The sequence below is a fragment of the Homo sapiens genome, chromosome 15 (genome assembly GCF_000001405.40).
Source record: "Homo sapiens chromosome 15, GRCh38.p14 Primary Assembly".
NCBI lineage: Eukaryota > Metazoa > Chordata > Mammalia > Primates > Hominidae > Homo > Homo sapiens.
The window spans coordinates 78,593,018-78,621,005 of record NC_000015.10 but is presented as its reverse complement, the minus strand read 5'-3'; the positions used below and the strand labels follow the sequence as shown (position 1 = coordinate 78,621,005).

The window sequence follows — 27,988 nt, the reverse complement described above, 5'->3', positions numbered from 1 at the left end:
CGCAGCTTCACTCCGGATGGTTCCTGTCCTCCCGCGGGTCCGAGGGCGCTGGAAACCCAGCGGCGGCGAAGCGGAGAGGAGCCCCGCGCGTCTCCGCCCGCACGGCTCCAGGTCTGGGGTCTGCGCTGGAGCCGCGCGGGGAGAGGCCGTCTCTGCGACCGCCGCGCCCGCTCCCGACCGTCCGGGTCCGCGGCCAGCCCGGCCACCAGCCATGGGCTCTGGCCCGCTCTCGCTGCCCCTGGCGCTGTCGCCGCCGCGGCTGCTGCTGCTGCTGCTGCTGTCTCTGCTGCCAGGTACGCGCACAGGCGTTAGGGCTCCGGAGGGACGGGCGCCCGAGAAGGGGCGCGGGGTCCGGAGGGGCTGCCGGCGAGAACACCGCGCGGGCGAGCGGAGAGGGCTGGCGCCGTCGCCGGGGACTCGGAACCCGCGCAGACTGGCTCCAGCCCGGCGGCGACTTGGGTGGGGTGGCTTTTTCCCTTTCGGCTCACCTCCCACCCCTAGCCACCACCAAACCTGGGAGTCACTGAGCGGGCGCTGGTACGCGCCGGGTGATGGGGAGGTCGAGACCGGGTCCTTCGTCTTGGGCGCAGGAGTTGGGGATTCGCGTCCCCGCGCTGCCCGTCGCCCTGCCCCGCGCACTGGCTCCCAAACTGGCGCGCCCAAGCCTCCCGCTCCACCGTCTGCATCCCGCCCACCTCCTCATTTGACGGAGATGGCTGAAGACTTGGCCAAGGCCACCTCGGGAAGAGGGGAGTCGCTTCGGGACTGGGGCTGGAGCTGGAGCGCCAGCCTCTCCTCCGGTTGTAGCCTCCTAGCGCTCCTGGCTGCGTCGCTGAGGGACCCTCCACCGGGAGAGCGCCTCCTGTCTTCCTCCCGCTCTCCAGAGGAGCCTGCTGGGGGAAGCCGGCCCTGGCCCGCCGCTGGGAGGCTCTTGGGTGCCTGGGAGGGCTGGTGGGTAGCGAGAGTCGGGGACCGGGCAAGGCTGCAGGGAATTCCTGGAGGGCCCAGGCCGGCGGTCTGTCGTGCGGCTGTGAGCTCAGAGCGCTTTCCGCCCTCGGTGCCGAGGCCTGCACTACTCAGAACGCCATACGCTCTCAACCGACCTCCTGCCTGGGACCCTTCTTTCATCCTGGGGAAGGAGAGTGGGGAGCAGGAAAAATCCTATTTCAAGACCTGAGGAAGTTGGATTCAACTTCCTAGAGGATTCTCCTCCCGCTTCCCCAAGCTGCCCCCAGATCTGTACGTGGGAATCAGAAGACAGCTGACCCGGTATGCCTCACTTGTGCTGGGGTGTGGCTTAGGAACAAAGAGGGGTGCCCAAGGGTTGCAGAGGTCAGAGTCTTTCATCAGGATATGAAGACAGCATCAGCAAGAGCTGGGGGTCACACGAGATCACGGGAGTCACACAGTGCCTTGGCTTCTAAGAGGGCTGGTGGCCACCCCTACAGGGTGGAATGCAGGAGAGGCCCAGACCTGGGCTGTGTTCTCCCGGAGGCTGGGAGGTAGAAGACCTGGGCCTGGGCGACCGTGGTTGGCCCTGCCCCTGGGAGCGGACTGGCCATCTTTCCATCGTGGAAGCAGTGAGTGGCTGTACCCAGGCAGACAGCATTTGCCCCACACCCCCACCCGGCAGAAACAACCCAGGAAAAGATTGCGAATAGTTCTTGACCTCTTACCGCAGCACCAAGCTGTGCACTTCCTTCACAACAACCCTTTGAGGTGGATACGTTTATAATCCTTATTTTGACTGGTAAAGACACAGGTTCAGAGAGGTTAAGCCACTTGCCTAAGCTCACACAGCTTACAAGTGATTTGTCAGGATTTGCACCAGATCTGTCCAACTCCAGAGCCCAGGCTTGCAACCACTGTGCTTCTCACTGAATGCGTGTGGCCAGGTAGAATCCTGCCCCTCTTGGGCCTCAGTTTCCCATTTTGTAACCCACTGGGTTAGACTGGCCTGAAAGTCTAGGGTTCCACAGAATCCCCCCACAGGTGGAGGGGATGCTGTAGATGGGTGATGTTTCTGCTGGGCTGGGTGGGGGAGGTTAAGTAACGATTTCCCCAGGGACTGACAGGGCTGCTTCCCACAGTGGCCAGGGCCTCAGAGGCTGAGCACCGTCTATTTGAGCGGCTGTTTGAAGATTACAATGAGATCATCCGGCCTGTAGCCAACGTGTCTGACCCAGTCATCATCCATTTCGAGGTGTCCATGTCTCAGCTGGTGAAGGTGGTGAGTGCTGGAAGCCACGAGCCGTGGCCATGGGGACCGGGGCTTCTGGAGGAGCCTTTCCCAGAATTAGTCTTGTTTTGTAATTCTCCTGTCAACTTTAATTCCTCTTTCTAGGATGAAGTAAACCAGATCATGGAGACCAACCTGTGGCTCAAGCAAGTAAGTGACCAGACCCTAGGCACTGCTGCCCCCTGGTGGTGACTGTTTTATTTGCTTTAGGTGAACCAAGAAAGGCCTAAAGACCAGGCTTCATTTACTTCTGTGGAACCCAGATTGGGGTCCACTGACTGGCAGATATATCTCTTCTAAGGCTTGAGGTCACATGCACTGCCCTACAGTCCCCCTGGAAGGACTGTAGGGCCCAACCCCTCAAGTCCCAGATGGACAGGTTGCAGCCTGGAGAAAGACATTCTCCATGTTCACACAACAGAAGAGTACGAACCTGAGATTGAAGCCCTGCCCCCAAACCCTGGGGTGGTGCCTGAGACACCTCCTTCTCTCCCTCTTGCTAAAAACTCAGTTTTTTTTCCAGACGGGATCTCGCTCTGTCACCCAGGCCGGAGTGCTGTGGCGTGATCTCGGCTCACTGCAATCTCCACCAGCAGGGTTCAAGCAGTTCTCCTGCCTCAGCCTCCCAAGTAGCTGGGACCACAGCTGTGCACCACCACGTCTGGCTAATTTTTGGATTTGTTATAGAGACAGGGTTTCGCCATGTTGCCCAGGCTGGTCTCGAACGCCTGATCTCAAGCAAACCACACACCTCAGCCTCCCAAAGTGCTGGGGTTACAGGCAGAAGCCACTGTGCACAGCCCCTATACTCATTCTTAAGTCAGAATAAGATGCTGCTGTTGTTGGTAGCGTGGGAGTAGATTTTCCTGTTCAGATCGAGGCCAAGAAATTGCCTTCCACATGTCCTCCCCAGGGAGGCTTTGTCCAGACTTGCCAGGAGACATAATGGCCCATTGGCCTGCGGGTGACCCTTCTGCCAGCCTGGCCAGCTGAGCACTCAGCACACACAGCCTTCATCCCCAGGAGGTTGGAAAGCCAGATGGGCACAGTGCCCCACCCAGTACTTGATGCACACGTTCCCTCTGTGGCCGCAGCCTCACCCCTCTCTCCTCTGGTGCTCAGGACTCAGACCTCCCAGCCTCTGGACCCAGACACTTCCTGGGCCCTGCAGGGGTCATGGATTCTTCCCCCGGAATCTTTCAGAGTCCAGTCTTGCTTAACCTTGGGGTGAAAGAGTGTCTATGTTGGAAAACACCCCTGGAGAGCCATTCAGGGGCTGTAAACAGGCACATGGACCTGGACATGATGCATGAAGTCCAGGAGTCTCCACCTGGCACTAGAAGTGACCAGAGAAAGCACGAGTAGGCCCTGTTTGGTTGATGAGGGGCTGGGCTTGCTCATGGTTATGGGGGCAGTGGCTTCCCTAGTGCCAGGAGGTGGCCCGCAGAGCCAGCCGTGTGCTCTCTCCTGCACTACACCCACAGGAGAAGTTGGACTATGTGATCATGGCATGGATGTGGTTCGGTCACATGCAGCAGGGGTGGGGAGTCACCAAGATGGGTGGTGCCACGGGAAGTAAAACCAGGCTGATTCTTTTACCGTCTCCTTCTCCCTCCCTGCTTCCTTCCCCGAGATCTGGAATGACTACAAGCTGAAATGGAACCCCTCTGACTATGGTGGGGCAGAGTTCATGCGTGTCCCTGCACAGAAGATCTGGAAGCCAGACATTGTGCTGTATAACAAGTAAGGTGCTGGGGGGCCCACGCCCTCTCAGGGCTGTCAGCCTGGGCTCTGGGTTTTTGGCCCACTGTGCTTAAAACCTGGCCTTCCTTGGCCTTTTCCAAGAAGGCTGCATTCATTTGTTCAGTCCATAGGTATGTAATCAGCAACTACTACATACCAGGTACCAGAGATGTTGGAGAGCCACAGAGAGCAGCAGTGTGCTGAGTGGCTTCAAAGCAGGCATGGGTGGGTGGAAGATGGCATTGGGAAAGTTTCAAGGAAGAATTGGCATTTGAAGTGAATCCTGAAGATTGTGTAGGATCTCAGGACAGGGAGATGGAGCAGAGGAGGGCCCGGGGAGGCAGGAGAGTATGTCATGGGCAGCCAAGGTGACCTCATTGGCTGGACTGTGGGACATAAGGCTGGAAAGATCCATGGGCCAAGGACCAACCCCAGTGTGTGGAGGGGGAAGGCTCAGATGCCCGGGGCACCTGGAATGTAGCATCTGTTAGCAGCTCTGTGCAAACAGACAGGAATGGAGTAAACGGTCCCTCCTCACCTTGTCTTTGAAAGAGAATGAGGGTGTTGGAGAAGATCATAGCTGGGTGGGCCTAAGCTGTGTAGTCCCAGGGTTCCCAGCCTGCTGACTGGCATGGTTACCAAGGAGCTTTTTTTTTGGGGGGGTGGGGGGGGGAAGACTGAGTCTTACTGTCACCCAGGCTGGAGTGCAGTGGTGGGATCTCGGCTCACAGCAACCTCCACCTCCTGGGTTCAAGAAATCCTCCTGCCTCAGCCTCCCAAGTAGCTGGGATTACAGGCACGTGCTGCCACACCTGGCTAATTTTGTATTTTTCAGTAGAGATGGGGTTTTGCCATGTTGGCCAGGCTGGTTTTGAACTCCTGACCTCAAGCAATCTGTCTGCCTTGGCCTCCCAAAGTGCTGGGATTACAGCATGAGCCACCATGCCCAGCCCCAATGAGCTTTTTAAAAATACAGGTGTTTGGCCAGGCATGGTGGCTGATGCCTGTAATCCCAGCACTTTGGGAGGCCGAGGCAGGAGGATCACTGGAGGCCAGGAGTTCGAGACCAGCCTGGCCAATATACCAAAACCCCATCTCTACTAAAAATACAAAAAATTAGCCAGGCATGGTGGCGTGTGCCTGTAATCCCAGCTACTCCAGAGGCTGAGGCAGGAGAATCGCTTGAACCTGGTAGGTAGAGGCTGCAGTGACCTAGATCACACCACTGTACTCCAGCCTGGGTGACAGTGAGACTCCGTCTCAAAAAAAAAAAAAAAAAAAAAATACAGGTGCCTGAATTCAAAATATTTTATTCTTTGTTCCTCACTGTCTTTTCTAAAGTTAATATGTATTACGTTATCCAAAAAATCTCTATACCTGTCCCCAGGTCCTGCCCCACAGAAACACTGAGTCAGTGGGTCTGGGTAGGCCTAGGAATGGGTGTTTTCACAAAGCTGTCCTGGGGGCTGTGTGACCAGCTTGCTTTGGGGATCCCTGATCTGGCCCTTCCCTGACATTTCACAGATGAGGACTGAGGCCCAGAGTGGATGTGTGGCACAGCCAGGTCTGGGGTGGTCTCAGCCATCCACTGTGGCTTTGGGGCCACTGTGGGCAGTGGATGCAGGAGGCCGATGCTGTGATCAGGGGGCTGAGCTGGGCACCCCAGCCTGTCTCTGCCTGTGTCCCCAAACCTCTTCTCTACTCTCCCAACAGCAAACCTGCCATCAGACAGTTACCCTGCTACACGGTGTACCCTGCAGGCCTCCTCCCACTGGGAAAAGGTCTGGGCCTTGGAGAAAGGATTGATAGCCCCCCAAGTATGTGAAGCAAGGTTCCCATGTACAGAGTAGGATGAGCATTCTGGGCCCCGTGCTCCCAGCCCGTCTGGGTGGCTGCATCCAGGTCGTAGTTGAGAAGGGTGAGTCCAGGACTAAAAAGACTTCCCTGGCTCCTGCCATCGAGAGAAGCTGCTCTCGAGCCAGTCCTTCACAGTGGGCCACTTCCAGTCTCCTATGGATCCGGAATGTGCATCTTCCCGCCAGTTTTGGGAGGCCTCTCCTCTTTCTCTCTTGCAAAGGTTCTTCCTCTGCCAGACAGGTCCTGCTCATCATAGCACCTCCAAAACCCCTCCCTTTTCTCTAAGTCCACACAAAACTGATACTTCCCACATTTAAGCTCTTTCATTGGACTGACATAAATTTTAGTTGATATTTTGCAATATGCTAGTTAGTTCTCTGGGTATTGAAGAATATCATTTTTGTACCTGCATTTTAGAGTTAAAATGTTTGAATATTTAAACCTTTTACATTTACATTTAAACATTTTCAGCAAAACAGTTGATGTAGAATTAGTCTATTCTGATTTTAATGCTAAGAATACTTCTAGGTTTTTATGCCATATTAGTACAAAATAATGTTTTCTTATTAGTAGTATTGATTTTACAGTTAGTGTCAGGACTAGAGAAGCTATGTTTTATACTGAATCCCACTTTCTGGTCTCTGGCAAAAACAAAAGTGGGTCTTTACTCACTCTAAAGACAGTCCATGTTTTATTTACTGTTTTCCCAAGGAAACACAGCACTTATAAATGTTTCTTGTATGTAATTTGTATTTGTAAACTGGTCATCAAAGAACTGGGACACAATATAAACTCAACAGGCTTGCAGATTTTTTTCTTCTTGCACTGAATTGTCGTAGGAATCACATGGTTCAAATGCTCTTAAGGGAACTGGGCAGGGTGTAGAGAATTTTTGCTAAGCTACAATTAAGAAAATGAGCAAAAAGTTTAATCTTCATGTTTTGCGTTTTATAGCCATTTCCTTGCTGGCAATCTTGAGTGAACAGCTGGAGTACTGTAGGATTTATGATTTTAGCAATAATGAGAGGCGTAGCAAAATGTTGCAAATTGGCTGTGGAGAGGAGCAAATATCATAAGGAATTTCTTTGAAATCTGAAGCTGAAAATAACATTTAGAGAAAATCATCCAACTCATGTTCTCTCTCTTCTCCTAGTTAGAACTTCAATTGCTCAGGATTCACCCTCTGTTAAGGATTTCTCTTCTTTTTTTTCCCCCCACCCCGAGATGGAGTCTCACTCTGTCGCCCAGGCTGGAGTGCAGTGGCATGATCTGGGCTCACTGCAAGCTCCGCCTCCCTGGTTCACGCCATTCTCCTACCTCAGCCTCCCAAGTAGCTGGGACTACAGGCGCCCGCCACCACGCCTGGCTAATTTTTTTGTGGTTTTTTTTGGTTTTTTTTTTGTTTGTTTGCCACTGCTTTACAGTTTTTTTTTAAATTTTATTATTATTATACTTTAAGTTTTAGGGTACATGTGCACAATGTGCAGGTTTGTTACATATGTATACATGTGCCATGTTGGTGTGCTGCACCCATTAACTCGTCATTTAGCATTAGGTATATCTCCTAATGCTATCTCTCCCCCCTCCCCCCACCCCACAACAGTCCCTGGTGTGTGATGTTCCCCTTCCTGTGTCCATGTGTTCTCATTGTTCAATTCCCACCTATGAGTGATAACATGCGGTGTTTGGTTTTTTGTCCTTGCGATAGTTTGCTGAGAATGATGGTTTCCAGTTTCATCCATGTCCCTACAAAGGACATGAACTCATCATTTTTTATGGCTGCATAGTATTCCATGGTGTATATGTGCCACATTTTCTTAATCCAGTCTATCCTTGTTGGACATTTGGGTTGGTTGCAAGTCTTTGCTATTGTGAATAATGCCGCAATAAACATACGTGTGCATGTGTCTTTATAACAGCATGATTTATAGTCCTTTGGGTATATACCCAGTAATGGGATGGCTGGGTCAAATGGTATTTCTAGTTCTAGATCCCTGAGGAATCGGCACACTGACTTCCACAATGGTTGAACTAGTTTACACTCCCACCAACAGTGTAAAAGTGTTCCTATTTCTCCACATCCTCGCCAGCATCTGTTGTTTCCTGACCTTTTAATGATCGCCATTCTAACTGGTGTGAGATGGTATCTCATTGTGGTTTTGATTTGCATTTCTCTGATGGCCAGTGACGATGAGCATTTTTTCATGTGTTTTTTGGCTGCATAAATGTCTTCTTTTGAGAAGTGTCTGTTCATATCCTTCACCCACTTTTTGATGGGGTTGTTTGTTTTTTTCTTGTAAATTTGTTTGAGTTCATTGTAGATTCTGAATATTAGCCCTTTGTCAGATGAGTAGGTTGTGAAAATTTTCTCCCATTTTGTAGGTTGCCTGTTCACTCTGATGGTAGTTTCTTTTGCTGTGCAGAAGCTCTTTAGTTTAATTAGATCCCATTTGTCAATTTTGGCTTTTGTTGCCATTGCTTTTGGTGTTTTAGACATGAAGTCCTTGCCCATGCCTATGTCCTGAATGGTATTGCCTAGGTTTTCTTCGAGGGTTTTTATGGTTTTAGGTCTAACATGTTAAGTCTTTAATCCATCTTGAATTAATTTTTGTATAAGGTGTAAGGAAGGGATCCAGTTTCAGCTTTCTACATATGGCTAGCCAGTTTTCCCAGCACCATTTATTAAATAGGGAATCCTTTCCCCCATTGCTTGTTTTTGTCAGGTTTGTCAAAGATCAGATAGTTGTAGATATGTGGCGTTATTTCTGAGGGCTCTGTTCTGTTCCTTTGATCTATATCTCTGTTTTGGTACCAGTACCATGCTGTTTTGGTTACTGTAGCCTTGTACTATAGTTTGAAGTCAGGTAGTGTGATGCCTCCAGCTTTGTTCTTTTGGCTTAGGATTGACTTGGCGATGCGGGCTCTGTTTTGGTTCCATATGAACTTTAAAGTAGTTTTTTCCAATTCTGTGAAGAAAGTCATTGGTGGCTTGATGGGGATGGCATTGAATCTATAAATTACCTTGGGCAGTATGGCCATTTTCACGATATTGATTCTTCCTACCCATGAGCATGGAATGTTCTTCCATTTGTTTGTATCTTCTTTTATTTCATTGAGCAGTGGTTTGTAGTTCTCCTTGAAGAGGTCCTTCACATCCCTCTTAAGTTGGATTCCTAGGTATTTTATTCTCTTTGAAGCAATTGTGAATGGTAGTTCACTCATGATTTGGCTGTTTGTCTGTTATTGGCGTGTAAGAATGCTTGTGATTTTTGTACATTGATTTTGTATCCTGAGACTTTGCTGAAGTTGCTTATCAGCTTAAGGAGATTTTGGGCTGAGACAATGGGGTTTTCTAGATATACAATCATGTCATCTGCAAACAGGGACAATTTGACTTCCTCTTTTCCTAATTGAATCCCTTTATTTCCTTCTCCTGCCTAATTGCCCTGGCCAGAACTTCCAACACTATGTTGAATAGGAGTGGTGAGAGAGGGCATCCCTGTCTTGTGCCCGTTTTCAAAAGGAATGCTTCCAGTTTGTGCGCATTCAGTATGATATTGGCTGTGGGTTTCTCATAGACAGCTCTTATTATTTTGAGATACATCCCATCAATACCTAATTTATTGAGAGTTTTTAGCGTGAAGGGTTGTTGAATTTTGTCAAAGGCCTTTTCTGCATCTATTGAGATAATCATGTGGTTTTTGTCTTTGGTTCTGTTTATATGCTGGATTACATTTGTTGATTTGCATATGTTGAACCAGCCTTGCATCCCAGGGATGAAGCCCACTTGATCATGGTGGATAAGCTTTTTGATGTGCTGCTGGATTCGGTTTGCCAGTATTTTATTGAGGATTTTTGCATCAATGTTCATCAAGGATATTGGTCTAAAATTCTCTTTTTTGGTTGTGTCTCTGCCAGCTTTGGTATCAGGAGGATGCTGGCCTCATAAAATGAGTTAGGGAGGATTCCCTCTTTTTCTATTGATTGGAATAGTTTCAGAAGGAATGGTACCAGCTCCTCCTTGTACCTCTGATAGAATTCAGCTGTGAATCCATCTGGTCCTGGACTTTTTTTGGTTGGTAAGCTATTGATTATTGCCACAATTTCAGCTCCTGTTATTGGTCTATTCAGAGATTCAACTTCTTCCTGGTTTAGTCTTGGGAGAGTGTATGTGTCCAGGAATTTATCCATTTCTTCTAGATTTTCTAGTTTATTTGCGTAGAGTTGTTTGTAGTATTCTCTGATGGTAATTTGTATTTCTGTGGGATCGGTGGTGATATCCCCTTTATCAATTTTTATTGCATCTATTTGATTCTTCTTTCTGCTTTATTAGTCTTGCTAGCAGTCTATCAATTTTGTTGATCTTTTCAAAAAACCAGCTCCTGGATTCATTAATTTTTTGAAGGGTTTTTTGTGTCTCTATTTCCTTCAGTTCTGCTCTGATTTTAGTTATTTCTTGCCTTCTGCTAGCTTTTGAATGTGTTTGCTCTTGCTTTTCTAGTTCTTTTAATTGTGATGTTAGGGTGTCAATTTTGGATCTTTCCTGCTTTCTCTTGTGGGCATTTAGTGCTATAAATTTCTCTCTACACACTGCTTTGAATGCGTCCCAGAGATTCTGGTATGTTGTGTCTTTGTTCTCATTGGTTTCAAAGAACATCTTTATTTCTGCCTACCTTTCGTTATGTACCCAGTAGTCATTCAGGAGCAGATTGTTCAGTTTCCATGTAGTTGAGTGGTTTTGAGTGAGTTTCTTAATCCTGAGTTCTAGTTTGATTGCACTGTGGTCTGAGAGACAGTTTGTTACAATTTGTGTTCTTTTACATTTGCTGAGGAGTGCTTTACTTCCAACTATGTGGTCAATTTTGGAATAGGTGTGGTGTGGTGCTGAAAAAAATGTATGTTCTGTTGATTTGGGGTGGAGAGTTCTGTAGATGTCTATTAGGTCCGCTTGGTGCAGAGCTGAGTTCAATTCCTGGGTATCGTTGTTAACTTTGTCTTGTTGATCTGTCTAATGTTGACAGTGGGGTGTTGAAGTCTCCCATTATTATTGTGTGGGAGTCTAAGTCTCTTTGTAGGTCTCTAAGGACTTGCTTTATGAATCTGGGTGCTCCTGTATTGGGTGCCTATATATTTAGGATAGTTAGCTCTTCTTGTTGAATTGATCCCTTTACCATTATGTAATGGCCTTCTTTGTCTCTTTTGATCTTTGTTGGTTTAAAGTGTTTTATCAGAGACTAGGATTGCAACCCCTGCCTTTTTTTGTTTTCCATTTGCTTGGTAGATCTTCCTCCATCCCTTTATTTTGAGCCTATGTGTGTCTCTGCGTGTGAAATGGGTTTCCTGAATACAGCACACTGATGGGTCTTGACTCTTTATCCAATTTGCTAGTCTGTGTCTTTTAATTGGAGCATTTAGCCCATTTACATTTAAAGTTAATATTGTTATGTGTGAATTTGGTCCTGTCATTATTATGTTAGCTGGTGATTTTGCTCGTTAGTTGATGCAGTTTCTTCCTAGCCTTGATGGTCTTTACATTTTGGCATGTTTTTGCAGTGGCTGGTACCAGTTGTTCCTTTCCATGTTTAGCGCTTCCTTCAGGAGCTCTTTTAGGGCAGGCCTGGTGGTGATAAAATCTCTCAGCATTTGCTTGTCTGTAAAGTATTTTATTTCTCCTTTACTTATGAAGCTTAGTTTGGCTGGATATGAAATTCTGGGTTGAAAATTCTTTTCTTTAAGAATGTTGAATATTGGCCCCCACTCTCTTCTGGCTTGTAGAGTATCTGCCGAGAGATCTGCTGTTAGTCTGATGGGCTTCCCTTTGTGGGTAACCCGACCTTTCTTTCTGGCTGCCCTTAACATTTTTTCCTTCATTTCAACTTTGGTGAATCTGACTATTATGTGTCTTGGAGTTGCTCTTCTCGAGGAGTATCTTTGTGGCATTCTCTGTATTTCCTGAATCTGAATGTTGGCCTGCCTTGCTAGATTGGGGAAGTTCTCCTGGATAATATCCTGCAGAGTGTTTTCCAACTTGGTTCCATTCTCCCCGTCACTTTCAGGTACACCAATCAGATGTAGATTTGGTCTTTTCACATAGTCCCATATTTCTTGGAGGCTTTGGTCATTTCTATTCTTTTTTCTCTAAACTTCCCTTCTCACTTCATTTCATTCATTTCATCTTCCATCACTGATACCCTTTCTTCCAGTTGATTGCATCGGCTCCTGAGGCTTCTGCATTCTTCACGTAGTTCTCCAGCCTTGGCTTTCAGCTCCATCAGCTCCTTTAAGGACTTCTCTGCATTGGTTATTCTAGTTATCCATTTGTCTAATTTTTTTTTCACAGTTTTTAACTTCTTTGCCATTGGTTTGAATTTCCTCCTGTAGCTTGGAGTATTTTGGTCGTCTGGAGCCTTCTTCTCTCAACTTGTCAAAGTCATTCTCCGTCCAGCTTTGTTCCATTGCTGGTGAGGAGCTATGTTCCTTTGGAGGAGGAGAGGTGCTCTGATTTTTAGAGTTTCCAGTTTTTCTGCTCTGTTTTTTCCCCATCTTTGTGGTTTTATCTACTTTTGGTCTTTGATGATGGTGACGTACAGATGGGTTTTTGGTGTGGATATGCTTTCTGTTTGTTAGTTTTCCTTCTAACAGACAGGACCCTCAGCTGCAGGTCTGTTGGAGTTTGCTAGAGGTCCACTCCAGACCCTGTTTGCCTGGGTATCAGCAGCGGTGGCTGCAGAACAGCGGTGGCTGTAGAACAGTGGATCTTGGTGACCCACAGATGCTGCTGCCTGATCGTTCCTCTGGAAGTTTTGTATCAGAGGAGTACCCGGCCGTGTGAGGTGTCAGTCTGCCCCTACTTGGGGGGTGTCTCCCAGTTAGGCTGCTCGGGGGTCAGGGACCCACTTGAGGAGGCAGTCTGCCCGTTCTCAGATTTCCAGCTGCGTGCTGGGAGAACCATTACTCTCCTCAAAGCTGTCAGACAGGGAAGTCTGCAGAGGTTACTGCTGTCTTTTTGTTTGTCTGTGCCCTGCCCCCAGAGGTGGAGCCTATAGAGGCAGGCAGGCCTCCTTGGGCTGTGGTGGGCTCCATCCAGTTCGAGCTTCCCGGCTGCTTTGTTTACCTAATCAAGGCTGGGCAATGGCAGGCGCCCCTCCCCCAGCATCGCTGCCGCCTTGCAGTTTGATCTCAGACTGCTGTGCTAGCCATCAGCAAGACTCCGTGTGTGTAGGACCCTCCGAGCAAGGTGCAGGATGTAATCTCCTGGTGTGCCGTTTTTTAAGCCCGTTGGAAAAGTGCAGTATTAGGGTGGGAGTGACCCGATTTTCCAGGTGCCATCTGTCACCCCTTTCTTTGACTAGGAAAGGGAACTCCCTGACCCCTTGTGCTTCCCAAGTGAGGCAATGCCTCGCCCTGCTTTGGCTCATGCACAGTGCGCTGCACCCACTATCCTGCACCCACTGTCTGGCACTCCCTAGTGAGATGAACCTGGTACCTCAGATGGAAATGCAGAAATCACCCATCTTCTGCATTGCTCATGCTGGGAGCTGTAGACCGGAGCTGTTCCTATTTGGCCATTTTGGCTCCACCCGAATTTTTTTGTATTTTTTTAGTAGCGACGGGGTTTCACCGTTTTAGCCAGGATGGTCTCAATCTCCTGACTTAGCCAGGATGGTCTCAATCTCCTGACTTTGTGATCCACCCTCCTCGGCCTCCCAAAGTGCTGGGATTACAGGTGTGAGCCATCATTCCCAGCCTTTCTCCTGTGATATTTTGTTTTCTAAAGTTCATTTGCTGACAGAATCCTCAGAGTATTCATGGACACTGTATACTCTGTGTTCTGGCAAGTTCATAATTCATTGTAACCTTTTTAGAGAATACTTTTAGGTAACTTGGCTGGGTGTAAAATTCTTGGCTCCTCTTTATCTTCCATGAAAATCTTTTTTTTTTTTTTTTTGGAGACAGAGTCTCACTGTGTTGGCCAGGCTGGAGTGCCTTGGCTCACTGCAATCTCTGCCTCCTGGGTTCCAGCTATTCTCCTGCCTCAGCCTCCTGAGTAGCCGGGATTACAGGTGTGTGCCACCATGCCCAGCTAATTTTTTGTATTTTTAGTAGAGATGGGGTTTCACAATGTTGGCCAGGCTGGTCTCAAACTCCTGACTTCAAATGATCTGCCCGCCTCAGCCTTCCAAAGTGCTGGGATTACAGGTGTGAGCCATCACACCCAGACTGCTTGTTCTTATGTTTCTTCTGGTTTTCTTTTTTGTGTGTTTTTTGTTTTGTTTTGTTTTGTTTTTTTGAGACAGACTCTCGTGGTGGCATGATCTCAGCTCACTACAAGCTCCGCCTCCCAGGTTCACACCATTCCCCTGCCTCAGCTTCCCAAGTAGCTGGGACTACAGGTGCCCACCACCACATCCGGCTAATTTTTTTGTATTTTTTTTAGTAGAGACGGGGTTTCACTGTGTTAGCCAGGATGGTCTCGATCTCCTGACCTCGTCATCCACTCACCTCGGCCTCCCAAAGTGCTGGGATTACAGGCCTGAGCCACCACCCCTGGCCTCTTCTGGTTTTATTTCTAAAATGATTTTTTTCTTTTTCCTAATTCTTTCCTAAATTCTGCTAGTTCTTTATACATTCTTTCATTTAACCAAATTATCCCTTATCTTTTCTGATTTCTGTTCTTTCACAATTTTGAAAAATTTCTTAGTTTCTTTTCATTTAATTTGTAATATCAGATTATCGTCAGCTTCATCTGCTTGGTGGCTCTATTTTTGTAGTTGCTGTTATCTGCGTGTGTGTTAATTCAGTTACTTGTGTTTGTATTTTTTTTTTTTTTTTTGAGACATCTTCTGTTTTTTTGCTCTTGTTACCAAGGCTGGAGTGCAATGGCATGATCTTGGCTCACTGCAACCTCTGCCTCTCAGATTCAAGCAATTCTTCTGCCTCAGCCTCCCAAGTAGCTGGGACTACAGGTGACTGCCACCACGCCTAGCTAAATTTTTTTTTGTATTTTTGGTAGAGACGGGGTTTCACCATGTTGGCCAGGTTGGTCTCGAACTCCTGACTTCAGGTAATCCACCTGTCTCAGCCTCCCAAAGTGCTGGGATTACAGGCATGAGCTGCTGTACCCAGTTTGTGTTTTTCTTACAATATGTTTTCATAAAGCTTCGTTGCTCTTGTTTAAATAGATAGCCTTGCTTTACTTTTAGGGCAAGTTCTTGGGGGGAATAGGAGAAGACGGTAGTTACCTTGAGGTGCCACTTGTCTCAATGCATGGCCACCTCCCCAGTCTCCACAGTCATGACACCTCAGTCATGACATGACCGCACAGTCATGGCATCTCCACGAGCTGCTGCCTCTGGATGCTGACTTCAGTTTCTGAACCTTCTTTCTCTTCTCATCCCCACTTCTTACCCTGTTGAGTTTGGATTCTACCATAAGCAGCTTTTTCTCTGAGTGGGTCTCTGTCCTTCTGAAAGGGAGGTTTTGGGAGGCATTTCTGACATCCTCAAGAGCCCACGTCAGCACTGACTGACCTCTGCAGACACTGAGTGGATTCCCACGGGATTTTTTTGGTTCTTGCCCACAAATTGGAACCTGTGGAGCCCTCTCTGTTCCATTGTTCCCCTTGCTGAGGATTCAGTGCAGAGTGGGGTCCTCGTCTTTTGAGGGGCAGCCACTTTTTGGAGATTCCTGTGTCTGGCACTCTTAGGATCTTAGGACATGAGAACCCTTCTTTCTTTTCCCCCGGCTGCCTCTACCCCGCAGCTAATCGCATGTGGGTCCCACAGGTCCTGCTGGTGGTGGTGGTCTGACCGCACACTCTCATATCCTGAGGTGCTGTGTAACCTAACTTTGTTGACAATGTGATCAGATTTGTTATTTTGCTGTCATCCTAGTTGCCCTATTTTTCTGAAGAAATTTAGAGAGATTTTAAAAACCCATGCCATCATGATCTTTCTCATAGCCCTCACCACCCCACCCCACTTCTGTTCTTAAATGCCCCCTGTATGATAGTGCTACCTCAGCTGATCATTTGCACCCATACTACCTTTTCTTTTTTTAATTGCCTCACATGGTTTGGCAGTACATTGCTCAGACCCTTCCCACCAATGCTGTCCCTTGCTGCCAGCTATCTCTGGGTGTGATATTGATTGACTGAGACAGAATCTCACTCTGTCACCCAGGCTGGAGTGCAGTGGTGCCATCTCAGCTCACTGCAGCTTCCACCTCCTGGGTTCAAGCAATTCTCCTGCCTCAGCCTCCCGAGTAGCTGGGATTACAGGTGTGCACCACCACACCTGGCTAATTTTTGTATTTTTAGTAGAGATGGGGTTTTGTCATGTTGACCAGGCTGGTCTCAAACTGCTGACCTCAGGTGATCTGCCCGCCTCAGCCTCCCAAAGTATTAGTATTACAGGTGTGAGCCACCACACCCAGCTTTCATTTATTTTTTGGTCATTCGTTAGGTCAACAAATATTTACTGAGTGCCCTTTATGAGGCTGGTGCTGTGCCAGACCCCAGTCTCCAGCTGGGTCTGCATGTTCTGTCTTCTGCTAGTAGAGATATGACTGTTGACACTGCCCCAGGCAGCACACAGGCCTTCTGATCTGGGTGGACACACCCCAGGGGTGCTGTGGGCAGCAGCCACAGTGACCAGGATCCCCAGAAATGAGCCATCAGCCAAGCTCAGCTAACCTCTAGTATATGTTCTTTGGGCACATGCACACATTTCTGTGTCTCCTCACTTGGGGACCCAAGTTCTGAATGGCCAAGGTTCTGCCATAAACTCTGTGGAGTCTCGAGCAAGTCATTCCTGTCCTTTGACCGTCAGTTTTCTCTTTGGCAAAATGAAGGTGTTGGACTAGAGCAGGGGCTAGCAAATGTTTTCTCTAAAGGGCCAGAGAATAAATATTTTAGGCGTTGTGGGTCATACAGTGACGGTCACAGCTATTCATCTCTGCCCCTGGAGCTCAAAAGTAGCTATAGATAATGGACAACAAAAGGCAGTGGCACTATTCCCCCCAGATTTTATTTACAGAAAGAGGACCACAGCTTGCCAACCCCTGGACCAGACCCTGGGCTCTGAAGCTCCCTTGCCGCTCTGACATTTTGTTGATCCAGGATGCTGTATGGAATTGGTTCAGGAGGCCTCTGCCTTCCTGAGGGTCTTTTCGACCTTCTGCTTAGCCCAGCCCTCTCCAGGGCCCCTCAGTGCTAAACATGGGCTGAGTCCACTTGGGGACTGTGTGGATGTTCACCTCCACCCCACCCTCCTACCTCTCCCTTTTTCCTGGAGCCAGGAGCAGGAATACTCGTAGGGAATTAAGGGCATGGTGGGAGTGAAATTGGGGCTAAGAATGTATAAACTCAGCAGGGCACCATTGGGGGCAAACTAGCCAACCAGAGGAAAGATAGTTAGTGGCTTTGGCATTGAGCCTTCATGGGTAATGATCCTGCTCAACCGAGACCCAGGAGAGACTAGCAAGGAAGAAGCACATGCACCACAACATTCCCCTTCTGTTTTCACAGGTTCCCATCCAATTACAGCAGCACAAGGATATCCCTAAATGTTTAGGCTTTGTCATTGTTTACAAGGCAAAGGAGTATGGCAGTTGCTCCCTTTGGAGGATGTAAATGCCTTCACAAGGCTAAGAAACTTAACAGGGCTGATCCGAGGAATGTTTAAGAACCTTCCTGGGCAGGGCCATTGTTGTGGAAGCAACTGGCCTTGCTCTCAGATGGCCTCATCTGGCCATCGCGGATGGAATGCCCAATGCAAGACTCAACAGGGATCATCAGCTGATTTTCTGTCGAACAAACCAACAAGACTATTCCTAGAAAAACGTACATGTCTAAGGCCAGGCAGTGGCTCAAGCCTGTAATCTCAGCACTTTGGGAGGCCGAGGTGGGCAGATCACTTGAGGTCAGGAGTTCGAGACCAGCCCAGCCAACATGGCAAAACTCCATCCCTACTAAAAATAGAAAAAGTAGCTGAGCGTTTGTGGTACATGCTTATAATTCCAGCTACTCAGGAGGCTGAGCAGGAGACTTGCTTGAACCCCGGGAGACAGAGATTGTAGTGAGCTACTGCATTCTAGCCTGGGCAACAGAGTGAGACTCTGTCTCAAAGAAAAAGAAAAATGTCTATTTCTGTGTGAAAATAAATGTCAGGATGCACATAGTGAAAAGGAAGGGAGAAGAAACATGGGGAGAAAATGGGGATAGGGACACAGAAAGTGAAGAAACCTGTTAGGCTGAATTCGAAAGACAAGGAAGCAAAACATGATTATTGTAAAACAGTACTGGGAAGAATGGGGGTGGGGAGGGTACAGGGAATGGTCAAATCAGGATCCAGAGATAGGGTTTGGAAGTAAATCCATCTGACAAGGTTCCGTTTAATGGGGGTGGACTCCCCTGGGTGGTCTGTGCAGCCCCTTCCACATCCATAGTCTGGTTTCACACACACATTAGGCGCCCGGTACAGACTGAATGAGGAGAGGGCCAAGCCTCAGGGACCCTGGGTGGCAAATAATCCCAAAGGCTGCTTCAGCACCTGGCTCCAGGAGGATGACCTTCCTCCCATTTCTTTAATTAAAGGGGGACCAATCCTCTTCGGGCATTTGGGAGTCTATCAGTTTGGGACCTGTATTGTGGGATGAACTGGTGGCCTGCCCTGGGGCAGGGAGTGATCCATATCTCAGATTGTTGTTGGGGAGGGAGCTTGGGCCTCAGTATCCCTGTTGGTAAATGGGGCCAGGAAATGGGTGACCTTTTATGGCACTTTAGCTCTCATCTTCCAGTGCCTTCCAAATCATTACTTACTGTGAGAAGCTGGTTGAGATGACCACAATATGACCAAGTGTTAATGACCGTGTGTCACTGTGCCCCCTCTTTGTCTTTGCAGTGCTGTTGGGGATTTCCAGGTGGACGACAAGACCAAAGCCTTACTCAAGTACACTGGGGAGGTGACTTGGATACCTCCGGCCATCTTTAAGAGCTCCTGTAAAATCGACGTGACCTACTTCCCGTTTGATTACCAAAACTGTACCATGAAGTTCGGTTCCTGGTCCTACGATAAGGCGAAAATCGATCTGGTCCTGATCGGCTCTTCCATGAACCTCAAGGACTATTGGGAGAGCGGCGAGTGGGCCATCATCAAAGCCCCAGGCTACAAACACGACATCAAGTACAACTGCTGCGAGGAGATCTACCCCGACATCACATACTCGCTGTACATCCGGCGCCTGCCCTTGTTCTACACCATCAACCTCATCATCCCCTGCCTGCTCATCTCCTTCCTCACTGTGCTCGTCTTCTACCTGCCCTCCGACTGCGGTGAGAAGGTGACCCTGTGCATTTCTGTCCTCCTCTCCCTGACGGTGTTTCTCCTGGTGATCACTGAGACCATCCCTTCCACCTCGCTGGTCATCCCCCTGATTGGAGAGTACCTCCTGTTCACCATGATTTTTGTAACCTTGTCCATCGTCATCACCGTCTTCGTGCTCAACGTGCACTACAGAACCCCGACGACACACACAATGCCCTCATGGGTGAAGACTGTATTCTTGAACCTGCTCCCCAGGGTCATGTTCATGACCAGGCCAACAAGCAACGAGGGCAACGCTCAGAAGCCGAGGCCCCTCTACGGTGCCGAGCTCTCAAATCTGAATTGCTTCAGCCGCGCAGAGTCCAAAGGCTGCAAGGAGGGCTACCCCTGCCAGGACGGGATGTGTGGTTACTGCCACCACCGCAGGATAAAAATCTCCAATTTCAGTGCTAACCTCACGAGAAGCTCTAGTTCTGAATCTGTTGATGCTGTGCTGTCCCTCTCTGCTTTGTCACCAGAAATCAAAGAAGCCATCCAAAGTGTCAAGTATATTGCTGAAAATATGAAAGCACAAAATGAAGCCAAAGAGGTAAGGATATGGCTTTTATTACATTGGTCATTCATTCATTCAACAAATATTTATGGGTTCCTCGTGGGGCAAGGCATAGGGTAGGGGGTTAAGAAATTGCCCTCTGGAGTCAGTGGCCTGTGTTAAGACCAGTTATATGTCCTTGGGTATGTTACCTCACCTCTCTGAGCCTGTTTTCTCTTCTGTAAAATGGGATGATAAAGCTTGGTATGTGGTACCCTGAAGCTAGCCACCAGGCTGCCAGCAGGCTGGCAGGCTGGACCATGAAAACACCTGATGCCAATAGACTAGATTAGGATGTAGGCTGGAAAAGGGCATGGGGCCAGATGATCTCCAGTTAGTATTGGTTAATTGAGGTTATATTTTTATTTTTATTTATTTTTTTGAGACAGGGTCCTGCTCTGTTGCCCAGGCTGGAGTGCAGTGGCGCAATCTTGGCTCACTGCAACTTCCGCCTCCCAGCTCAAGCGATTCTCCCACCTCAGTTTCCCGAGTAGCTTGAACTACAGATGCCCCGCCACCATACCCTAATTTTTTTGTACCGATGGGGTTTTGCCATGTTGCCCAGGTTGGTCTCAGACTCCTCGACTCAATCTGCTCACCTCAGTCTCCCAAAATGCTGGGACTACAGGCATGAGCCACCGCACCTGGCCTTTATTTTTACTTTCTAATTGTATATGTGTTCTCACTGAGGAAGAATTTACGTGGAGTAAAGTGCACACCTCTTCAGTGTACATCTCAATGAGTTTTTACATCATGTATACAACCATGTAACCAAGACCCAGGTAAAGATATAGAACACTCCCAGGGCCCCTAGAAAGTTCCCCAATGCCCTTGCCAGTCAGTGTCTCCCTCCCTGCTTGGTACCCACCATCCTGGCTTAGGCGCAGTGGCTCACGCCTGTAATCCTAGCACTTTAGGAGGCTGAGGCAGGTGGATGGCTTGAGATCAGGAGTTTGAGACCAGCCTGGGAAACATAGCGAAACCCCGTCTCTAACAGAAATACAAAAATTAGCCAGGCGTGGTGGCACGTGCCTGTAGTTCCAGCTACTCAGGAGGCTGAGGTGAGAGGATCACTGGAGCTCAGGAAGTCTAGTGAGCTGTGATCATGCCACTGCACTCCAGCCTGGGTAACAGAGTGAAGTCCTTTCTTTAATTAATTAATTAATTTTTTAAAAAACCATTATACTGACTTATTTGATAATTGATTAGTTTTACCTATTTTTTTTTTTTTTTGAGATGGAGTCTTGCTCTGTCACCCAGAATGGAGTGCAGTAGTACAATCTCTGCCTACTGCAACCTCTGCTTCCCAGGTTCAAGTGATTCACATGCCTCAGCCTCCCAAGTGTCTGGGACTACAGGTACCCGCCCGCTACCATGCCTAATTTTTTGTATTTTTAATAGAGAGGGGATTTTGCCATGTTTGTCAGGCTGGTCTTGAACTCCCGACCTCAGGTGATCTGCCCGCCTTGGCCTCCCAAAGTGCTAGGATTAAAGGTGTGATCCACCACACCTGGCCTTTTGAGCCCTCAGAAGAACATTTATCCATAAACATTCTTGAGAAGGCATGCCAATAAGAAGAGAAATAAATCCAGGGGGCTACAAAGGAGAGGAGGAAAGCCTCAGGCTCCACCAGTCAATGGGCAGCTCAGTTCTCTGCACTTCCCTTTAGCCAGGCTCTGCTGGGCTTGTGAGGGACCCCCTGAACCTGCATCTCTGGGCTGGGAGTGGCAGGCTAAAGAGGCAAAGTGGCAGGGGAACAAAGATCTCCCTAGCTCTCCCCTCCACCAAGCCCCTCCCCCTGCCAGCCCCAGTCTCTGGCCACACCTTCCCAGTTTCTGGGTCTTTAAAGTAGTCTTCTCATGCTTCTGGGCCAGCTCTCAATTTGGGCTAGTTCACCACTTTGCCTAACATCTGTGACTCATCAGAAAATGGCCAATATCATTGTGCTTTAAAGACTTTAGGAGCTAGATATAAGCCAGGCACAGTGGCTTACACCTGTAATCCAACACTTTGGGAGGCCAAGGCAGGAGGATCACTTGAGCCCAGGAGTTCAAAACCATCCTGGGCCACGTAGGGAAACCCTTTCTCTACAAAAAAAATTTAAAAATCAGGCCAGGTGCAGTGGCTCACGCCTGTAATCCCAACACTTTGGGAGGCCGAGGCAGGTGGATCACCTGAGGTTGGGAGTTCAAGACCAGCCTGGCCAACAATGGTGAACCTCCATCTCTACTAAAAATACAATAAATTAACCGGGGGGTGGTGGTGGCATGAGCCTGTAATCTTAGCTACTCGGGAGTCTGAGGCACAAGAATTGCTTGAACTCGGGAGACAGAGGTTGCAGTGAGCCAAGATCACACCACTGGACTCCAGCCTAGGTGACAGAGTGAGACTCCGTTTCAAAAAAAAAAAAAAAATGCCGGGTGCAGTGGCTGACGCCTGCAATCCCAGCACTTTGGGAGGCTGGGGCAGGTGGATCACCTGAGGTCAGGAGTTTGAGACCAGCCTGGCCAACATAAAACCCCATCTCTACTAAATACAAAAATTAGCTGGGCATGGTGCTAGGCACCTGTAATCCCAGCTACTCAAGAGGCTGAGGCAGGAGAATTGCTTGAACCTGGGAGGTGGAGCTTGCAGTGAGGCGAGGTCATGCCACTGCACTCCAGCCTGGGCGTCTCAAAAAACAAAAAATTGCCCAAGTGTAGTGACACACACCTGTAGTTCCAGCTACTCAGGAAGCTGAGTGGGGAAGATTACTTGAGCCCGGGAGGTCAAGGCTGCAGCAAGCCATGATTGCACCCCTGCACTCCAGCTTGAGCAACAAAGCAAGACCCTGTCTCAAAAAAAAAAAAAAGATATAAAATTTCTGTCCAGCCAGCTCTTTTTGCACCACTATTTCTATTCATGTATAAAACCCAAGTGTCATCTTTCTTCATGAGGCTTGAGTAAGGGTCATTTTATAAATCAACATTAGTATCACTAGGCTCTATTCATTAAGGACTCTGTTCTGAAACAAGCTTCTGAGGGAAGTACTGTTCTTATCCCCATTTTACAGATAAGGAAATTGAGGCTAAGAGCGGTCATGGAATTTACCCAGATTCTCACAACTCAAAAGGAGCAGAGCTGGGATTCTAATCAGTTTGTCTCCAAGTCTCTGCTTTTCCACACCTCTGCCTCCTAGAGCCTTAGGAGGTGGCTGGTAGGGGGTGGGTAGGAATCTCACATCTCAAGGTGTATCTGAAGCACACACAAACCAGTCTTAGGAATTCAAATGAAGTACCTCATGGCAAATATGGCATCATAATTCTAATTTTACCTATGACAGTAGTGTCACCAAGAGAACACATTTACTCAGGCTCACAATGGTGATGTAAAATCTTCATCTCCCAGCGCCATTTCAGTATACTTATAATAAAGAGGCAGCATGTAATTTATTAATTTCATTATTGCTTCAAAATCAGCTGACTCATGGGTTCTCTCAATTCAATTATGGCTTCTTTGCTTTCTGAATTGTCTAGGAGTATAATTACAATTTTCCTTCCTATTTCAAGCCCAAATTGAAGCTGTATTATATACAATTGGTCTTGCTTTTTCTCCCATCTTTTACTTTATTGTCAGCAATTATTTCTGATGTTCAACCTGCTCTCCAACTGCACAGTATCCCATGATACTTTGGTCTTATGAGTAAAAATGACTTTTGATCAGCTGGGCATCGTGGAGAGGGCAGTGGGGAGGGAAAGAGTGATGAGGATGGACTTGCCCTGATAACGCTTATCTCATTTTTGGAACAGATGTTAAAAGGAAATTTATTTTGTTGTTTTTGAGACAGGGTCTCGCTCTGTTGCCCAGGCTGGAGTGCAGTGGCGTGATCTCTGCTCACTGCAACCTCCGCCTCCCGGGTTCAAGAAATTCTCATGCCTCAGCCTCCCAAGTAGCTGGGGATTACAGGCATGTGCCACCACTCCTGGCCAATTTTTGTATTTTTGGTAGAGACAGGGTTTCAACAGGGTTTCACCATGTTGGCCAGGCTGGTCTCAAACTCCTGACCTCAGGTGATCTCAGCCTCCCAAAGTGCTGGGATTACAGGCGTGAGCCACTGCGCCAAATTTATATCTAAAACTGGATAGAGTACTTTGAAACAATGGTAGATTATATTGGACTATATTAGCCATTCTAACCAAGGCCCAGAATCCTGCCATGGAAGCCTAAGTAACTGGTTTCACTAACTTTATAAAATTGGAATTCAGTTTAGAAAAACTAGGTTATGCATTTTTAGGAAACTTCTGATTTGAAACAGATCTAACATGACAGATCTTTTATACCTGTTTCTCTCCTGCATAAACAGAAACTTGAGAATGGTGGATTTCCTCAGACCACATCAATTAGGAAAAAAAGGGCTTCTTACATATTAGAGACAAAATGGCTTCTACTGCAACGTGTTGATTACATCTTCAGTATTGAAAATGTATTCATTTGCCTTTCCCTCCATGTTTTTTTTCTTTTATCATTTTGTTTTGCAGATTCAAGATGATTGGAAGTATGTTGCCATGGTGATTGATCGTATTTTTCTGTGGGTTTTCACCCTGGTGTGCATTCTAGGGACAGCAGGATTGTTTCTGCAACCCCTGATGGCCAGGGAAGATGCATAAGCACTAAGCTGTGTGCCTGCCTGGGAGACTTCCTTGTGTCAGGGCAGGAGGAGGCTGCTTCCTAGTAAGAACGTACTTTCTGTTATCAAGCTACCAGCTTTGTTTTTGGCATTTCGAGGTTTACTTATTTTCCACTTATCTTGGAATCATGCAAAAAAAAAAATGTCAAGAGTATTTATTACCGATAAATGAACATTTAACTAGCCTTTTTGGTATGGTAAAGAGATGTCAAAATGTGATTCTATGTGATTAGTATGCTATGCTATGGAATATACATGTAAAAATGTTTCCTTTTAGTTGTTGAAACAAAACTGGATAGAAAAATGCTGTTCAGAAATATGAAAAGTCATTCAGTTATCACTACAGATCTCCCAGTAATTTTTCTTATTTAGCCCATAATCTCTTTGAAGGTTTATACTAATTCAGCAATCCCCCATCGTTACCCATTTCTTACCATGCATTTCTCGTTCTTTACTGGGTCTAAAGGGCTATGCCTCCATTTCAGAGAGCTTCAACTACTTCTCTTGCATACTTCTAAATTATACCATGAGAAATCATGCCTAGTTATTCATTGTTAATATAACTGTCTTAGTACACCATAAACTGGGTGGATTATAAACAACAGAAACTTCTCAGTTTTGGAGGTTGGGAGGTCCAAGGTCAAGGCACCAGCAAATTTGGTGTCTGGTGAGGGTCCTCTTCCTCAAAGGGTGCCTTCTAGCTGTGTCCTCACATGACTGAAGGGACTAGCTATCTCTGTGGGGTCTATTTTATAAGGGCACTAACCCCATTCATGAGAGCAGAGCCCCCATGGCCTAATCACCTTTCCAAGGCCCCACCTTCTATCTAAGACAATCACGCTGGGAATAGGTTTCAACATATGAATTGGGGGAGGACACATTTGGACCACAGCATGAACCTTTAGAACAGGGTTTCTCAGCCTTAGCACTATGGACATTTTGGGCTGGATAAATATGTGTTGGTACAGAATGGGGGTATCCTGTGCATTGTAGGATCTTTAGCAGTACCCTAGCCTCAACTCACTAGATGCCAATGACATACCTTGCTTCTTCACCAGTTATGATAACCAAGAATGTCTCCATTGTTAAATGTTCCCTTAGGAGCAAAATTGCCCCTGGTTGAGAAACATTGCTTTAGACAAATTGTTAAGAGTATCATGTACTACACTTCTGAAACTTAACGTGATCATCACCACTGACAGATGATTCACAGAGACTGTTTGAATCTTGTCTCACTAGTTTTTCCTGTGCAAAAATAAAATGGACAGAATTGCAGCCCGCTGTGACTCATGTTTCAATAAGTCAAAAGAAAGATGTCGATAAAAATTTATATATAAAAATCATAAGTAACAGTAATGGTAGTATAAGAGGGATCAGGGATGTATACGAACTAAGGTAGGTAGCTGGCAGGCAATCTAAATTCATCACACCAGGCTTTCACTCATTAAATGGCATTAAACACCTGCCTACGATTAAATGCAAATTAGATAGGGTCTCCTCCGCCTTCCAAAGAGCATTGGCTTGAACTTAGATAGGTTACTTATTATAAATAAATGAGGTGTTTGTGATCTCAACAGCTAAGAGTTCTAAATTGAACGAGGGTTTCTGTCAGTGTTTGCTACCTGGTCACACCTGAAGTGGTGACATTTAGAGATGGAATTTAACTGTTTTAACTGTGATACATTATACTGTACTAAATCATTTACGCTGTACTAGTAATAGGCTAAGATTGATTACATCTAAAGGCCCTTGCAACTCTAAGATTCTATTATTGTAATTGTTAGAATGAAGGAGAGAAAACTGAAATATTACAGGTATATAACAGTGTGCATATACCAAATTAGAATACTGTGTTTCATATTAGAAGATTGTTTTCTCACAGAATGATTTAGACCAAAATATGTTTGAGACAGAGTTTTGCTCTTGTTGCCAGGCTGGAGTGCAATGGCGCAGTCTCGGCTCACTGCAGCCTCCACCTCCCAGGTTCAAGCGATTCTCCTGCCTCAGCCTCTTGAGTAGCTGGGACTACAGGCGCCTGCTACCATGCCCGACTAATTTTTTGTATTCTTAGTAGAGACGGGGCTTCACCATGTTGGTCAGGCTAGTCTCGAACTCCTAACCTCTGGTGATCCACCTGCCTCAGCCTCCCAAAGTGCTTGGATTACAGATGTGAGCCACTGCCCCCGGCCCTAAATATGTTTTTTAAATGGGGTTCATGTAATTGTAGTGGACTGACTATTCTAAGATCAAGGATAAAGAGATACTACCACAATTTATATAGAAGATGGTTCTATTAATTGTGGGAAATGTGGACAAGAGGACTGAAATTAATGTTAAGGATATGCTACTGCGTGTCCACAGGAGTTGTCTACTGTATGACTTTACAGTGGAAGCTAAGCTACAGAAATAGTTAACACAATAATTAAGCATCTAAAGAATAAAGTAAGCCTTAAAGGAGTTCCCAATTCCTGTTTTTCATTTATTTTTAAAATGTTGGTTATGGAAAAGCAGCAGCACATTAAGTTGTTGTTATTATTATTATTTGAGACTGAGTTTTGCTCTTGTTGCCCAGGCTGGAGTGCAATGGCGTGATCTCAGCTCACCGCAACCTCCGCCACCTGGGTTCAAGCGATTCTCCTGCCGCAGCCTCCCAGGTAGCTGGGATTACAGGTGTGCACCACCACCCTGGCTAATTTCATATTTTTAGTAGAGACGGGGTTTCTCCACGTTGGTCAGGCTGGTCTCGAACTCCCAACCTCAGGTGATACGCCCACCTCGACCTCCCAAAGTGCTGGGATTACAGGTGTGAGCCACCGTGCCCGGCCACATTAAGTAATTATTATATCAAGCATCACATTAAGTAATTATATCAAGTAGTCAGCTTTTTAAATATAGCAGTATAATATTATATTAAAGATTAGCTGTTACTCAGTGAGTACAGGAAAGTTTACATACCTTTACCAAATGCAGAAAAGTTTTAAAATCAGTCTTCAAATACAACTGGAATTCTCCAGCACAGTCAAAGGATGAACTTTACTGTGGATTATAAATTAGTATTATTTGCCAGGATACAAATACTAGATTTTTCACTAGTCCAGTTCAGATAATATTTTGCTATTTTTACAAGATCAAATGTATCTCATCAGTTATTACTTCAGTCATACAGCCAACTGTTCAAATGGATCATCTGTTAACATAAATTGAGGTTAGCAACTTAGTCTGTTAAAGCTTGCACTAAATTTAACACATAACTTACATTTTCATAATTTTATAGGTGCCATCAGATATATGTGTGTTAACTAAATGTATACTTCAGTCCCTTGGGAGGCTTCACTTATTTGCATTTCCAATATGAACTGGTATTAATATATTTGCCCATTTATAAATAACAGGAACAAAAAGCCCAAGAGATCCAACAATTGAAACGAAAAGAAAAGTCCACAGAAACATCCGATCAAGAACCTGGGCTATGAATTTCCAATCTTCAACAACCTGTTAGGAAAAAAATAAAAATGCATTAAATAATTGTAAATTGTGTACATATTTTAAGATATAACAAACACACT

The 27,988-nt window shown here is 46.7% G+C and overlaps 2 protein-coding genes across 11 annotated transcripts in view; one reads left to right on the top strand and one right to left on the bottom strand.

The window, feature by feature from the left end:
- CHRNA3 (cholinergic receptor nicotinic alpha 3 subunit) lies at positions 10 to 27,954 on the top strand. Of its 4 annotated transcripts, NR_046313.2 has the most exons (8): positions 10 to 293; positions 2,091 to 2,230; positions 2,345 to 2,389; positions 3,873 to 3,982; positions 18,742 to 19,753; positions 24,274 to 24,466; positions 26,995 to 27,092; positions 27,815 to 27,954. NR_046313.2 is itself a non-coding variant. In NM_001166694.2 (6 exons), exons 1-6 carry the CDS (start codon positions 212 to 214, stop codon positions 27,893 to 27,895), a joined length of 1,470 nt encoding a protein of 489 aa, NP_001160166.1. In that variant the 5' UTR covers positions 10 to 211; the 3' UTR covers positions 27,896 to 27,954. The 4 variants fall into 4 exon arrangements, 3 of the variants coding, with proteins under 3 accessions (NP_001160166.1, NP_000734.2, XP_006720445.1); NM_001166694.2 differs by lacking the exons at positions 24,274 to 24,466; positions 26,995 to 27,092; NM_000743.5 differs by lacking the exons at positions 26,995 to 27,092; positions 27,815 to 27,954 and having other exon boundaries at positions 24,274 to 25,697.
- The window catches only part of CHRNA5 (cholinergic receptor nicotinic alpha 5 subunit), a 29,750-nt gene continuing 27,498 nt past the window's right edge, over positions 25,737 to 27,988 (bottom strand). For all 7 annotated transcript variants that reach the window (NM_000745.4, NM_001395171.1, NM_001395173.1 and 4 more), the window contains exon 6: positions 25,737 to 27,914. In NM_000745.4, the coding sequence (NP_000736.2) occupies positions 27,753 to 27,914 (162 nt within the window). In that variant the 3' untranslated portion in view covers positions 25,737 to 27,752. The remainder of the gene's footprint in view (positions 27,915 to 27,988) is intronic.

What these genes read in the sequence shown, in the direction of transcription:
- CHRNA3 (NM_000743.5), top strand. Translation starts at nt 212, where the DNA reads ATGGGCTCTGGCCCGCTCTCGCTGCCCCTGGCGCTGTCGCCGCCGCGG. An exon ending in GCTGCTGTCTCTGCTGCCAG is followed by an intron (nt 294 to 2,090) that starts GTACGCGCACAG and finishes TGCTTCCCACAG; the next exon opens with TGGCCAGGGCCTCAGAGGCT. An exon ending in CACAAAATGAAGCCAAAGAG is followed by an intron (nt 19,754 to 24,273) that starts GTAAGGATATGG and finishes TTTGTTTTGCAG; the next exon opens with ATTCAAGATGATTGGAAGTA.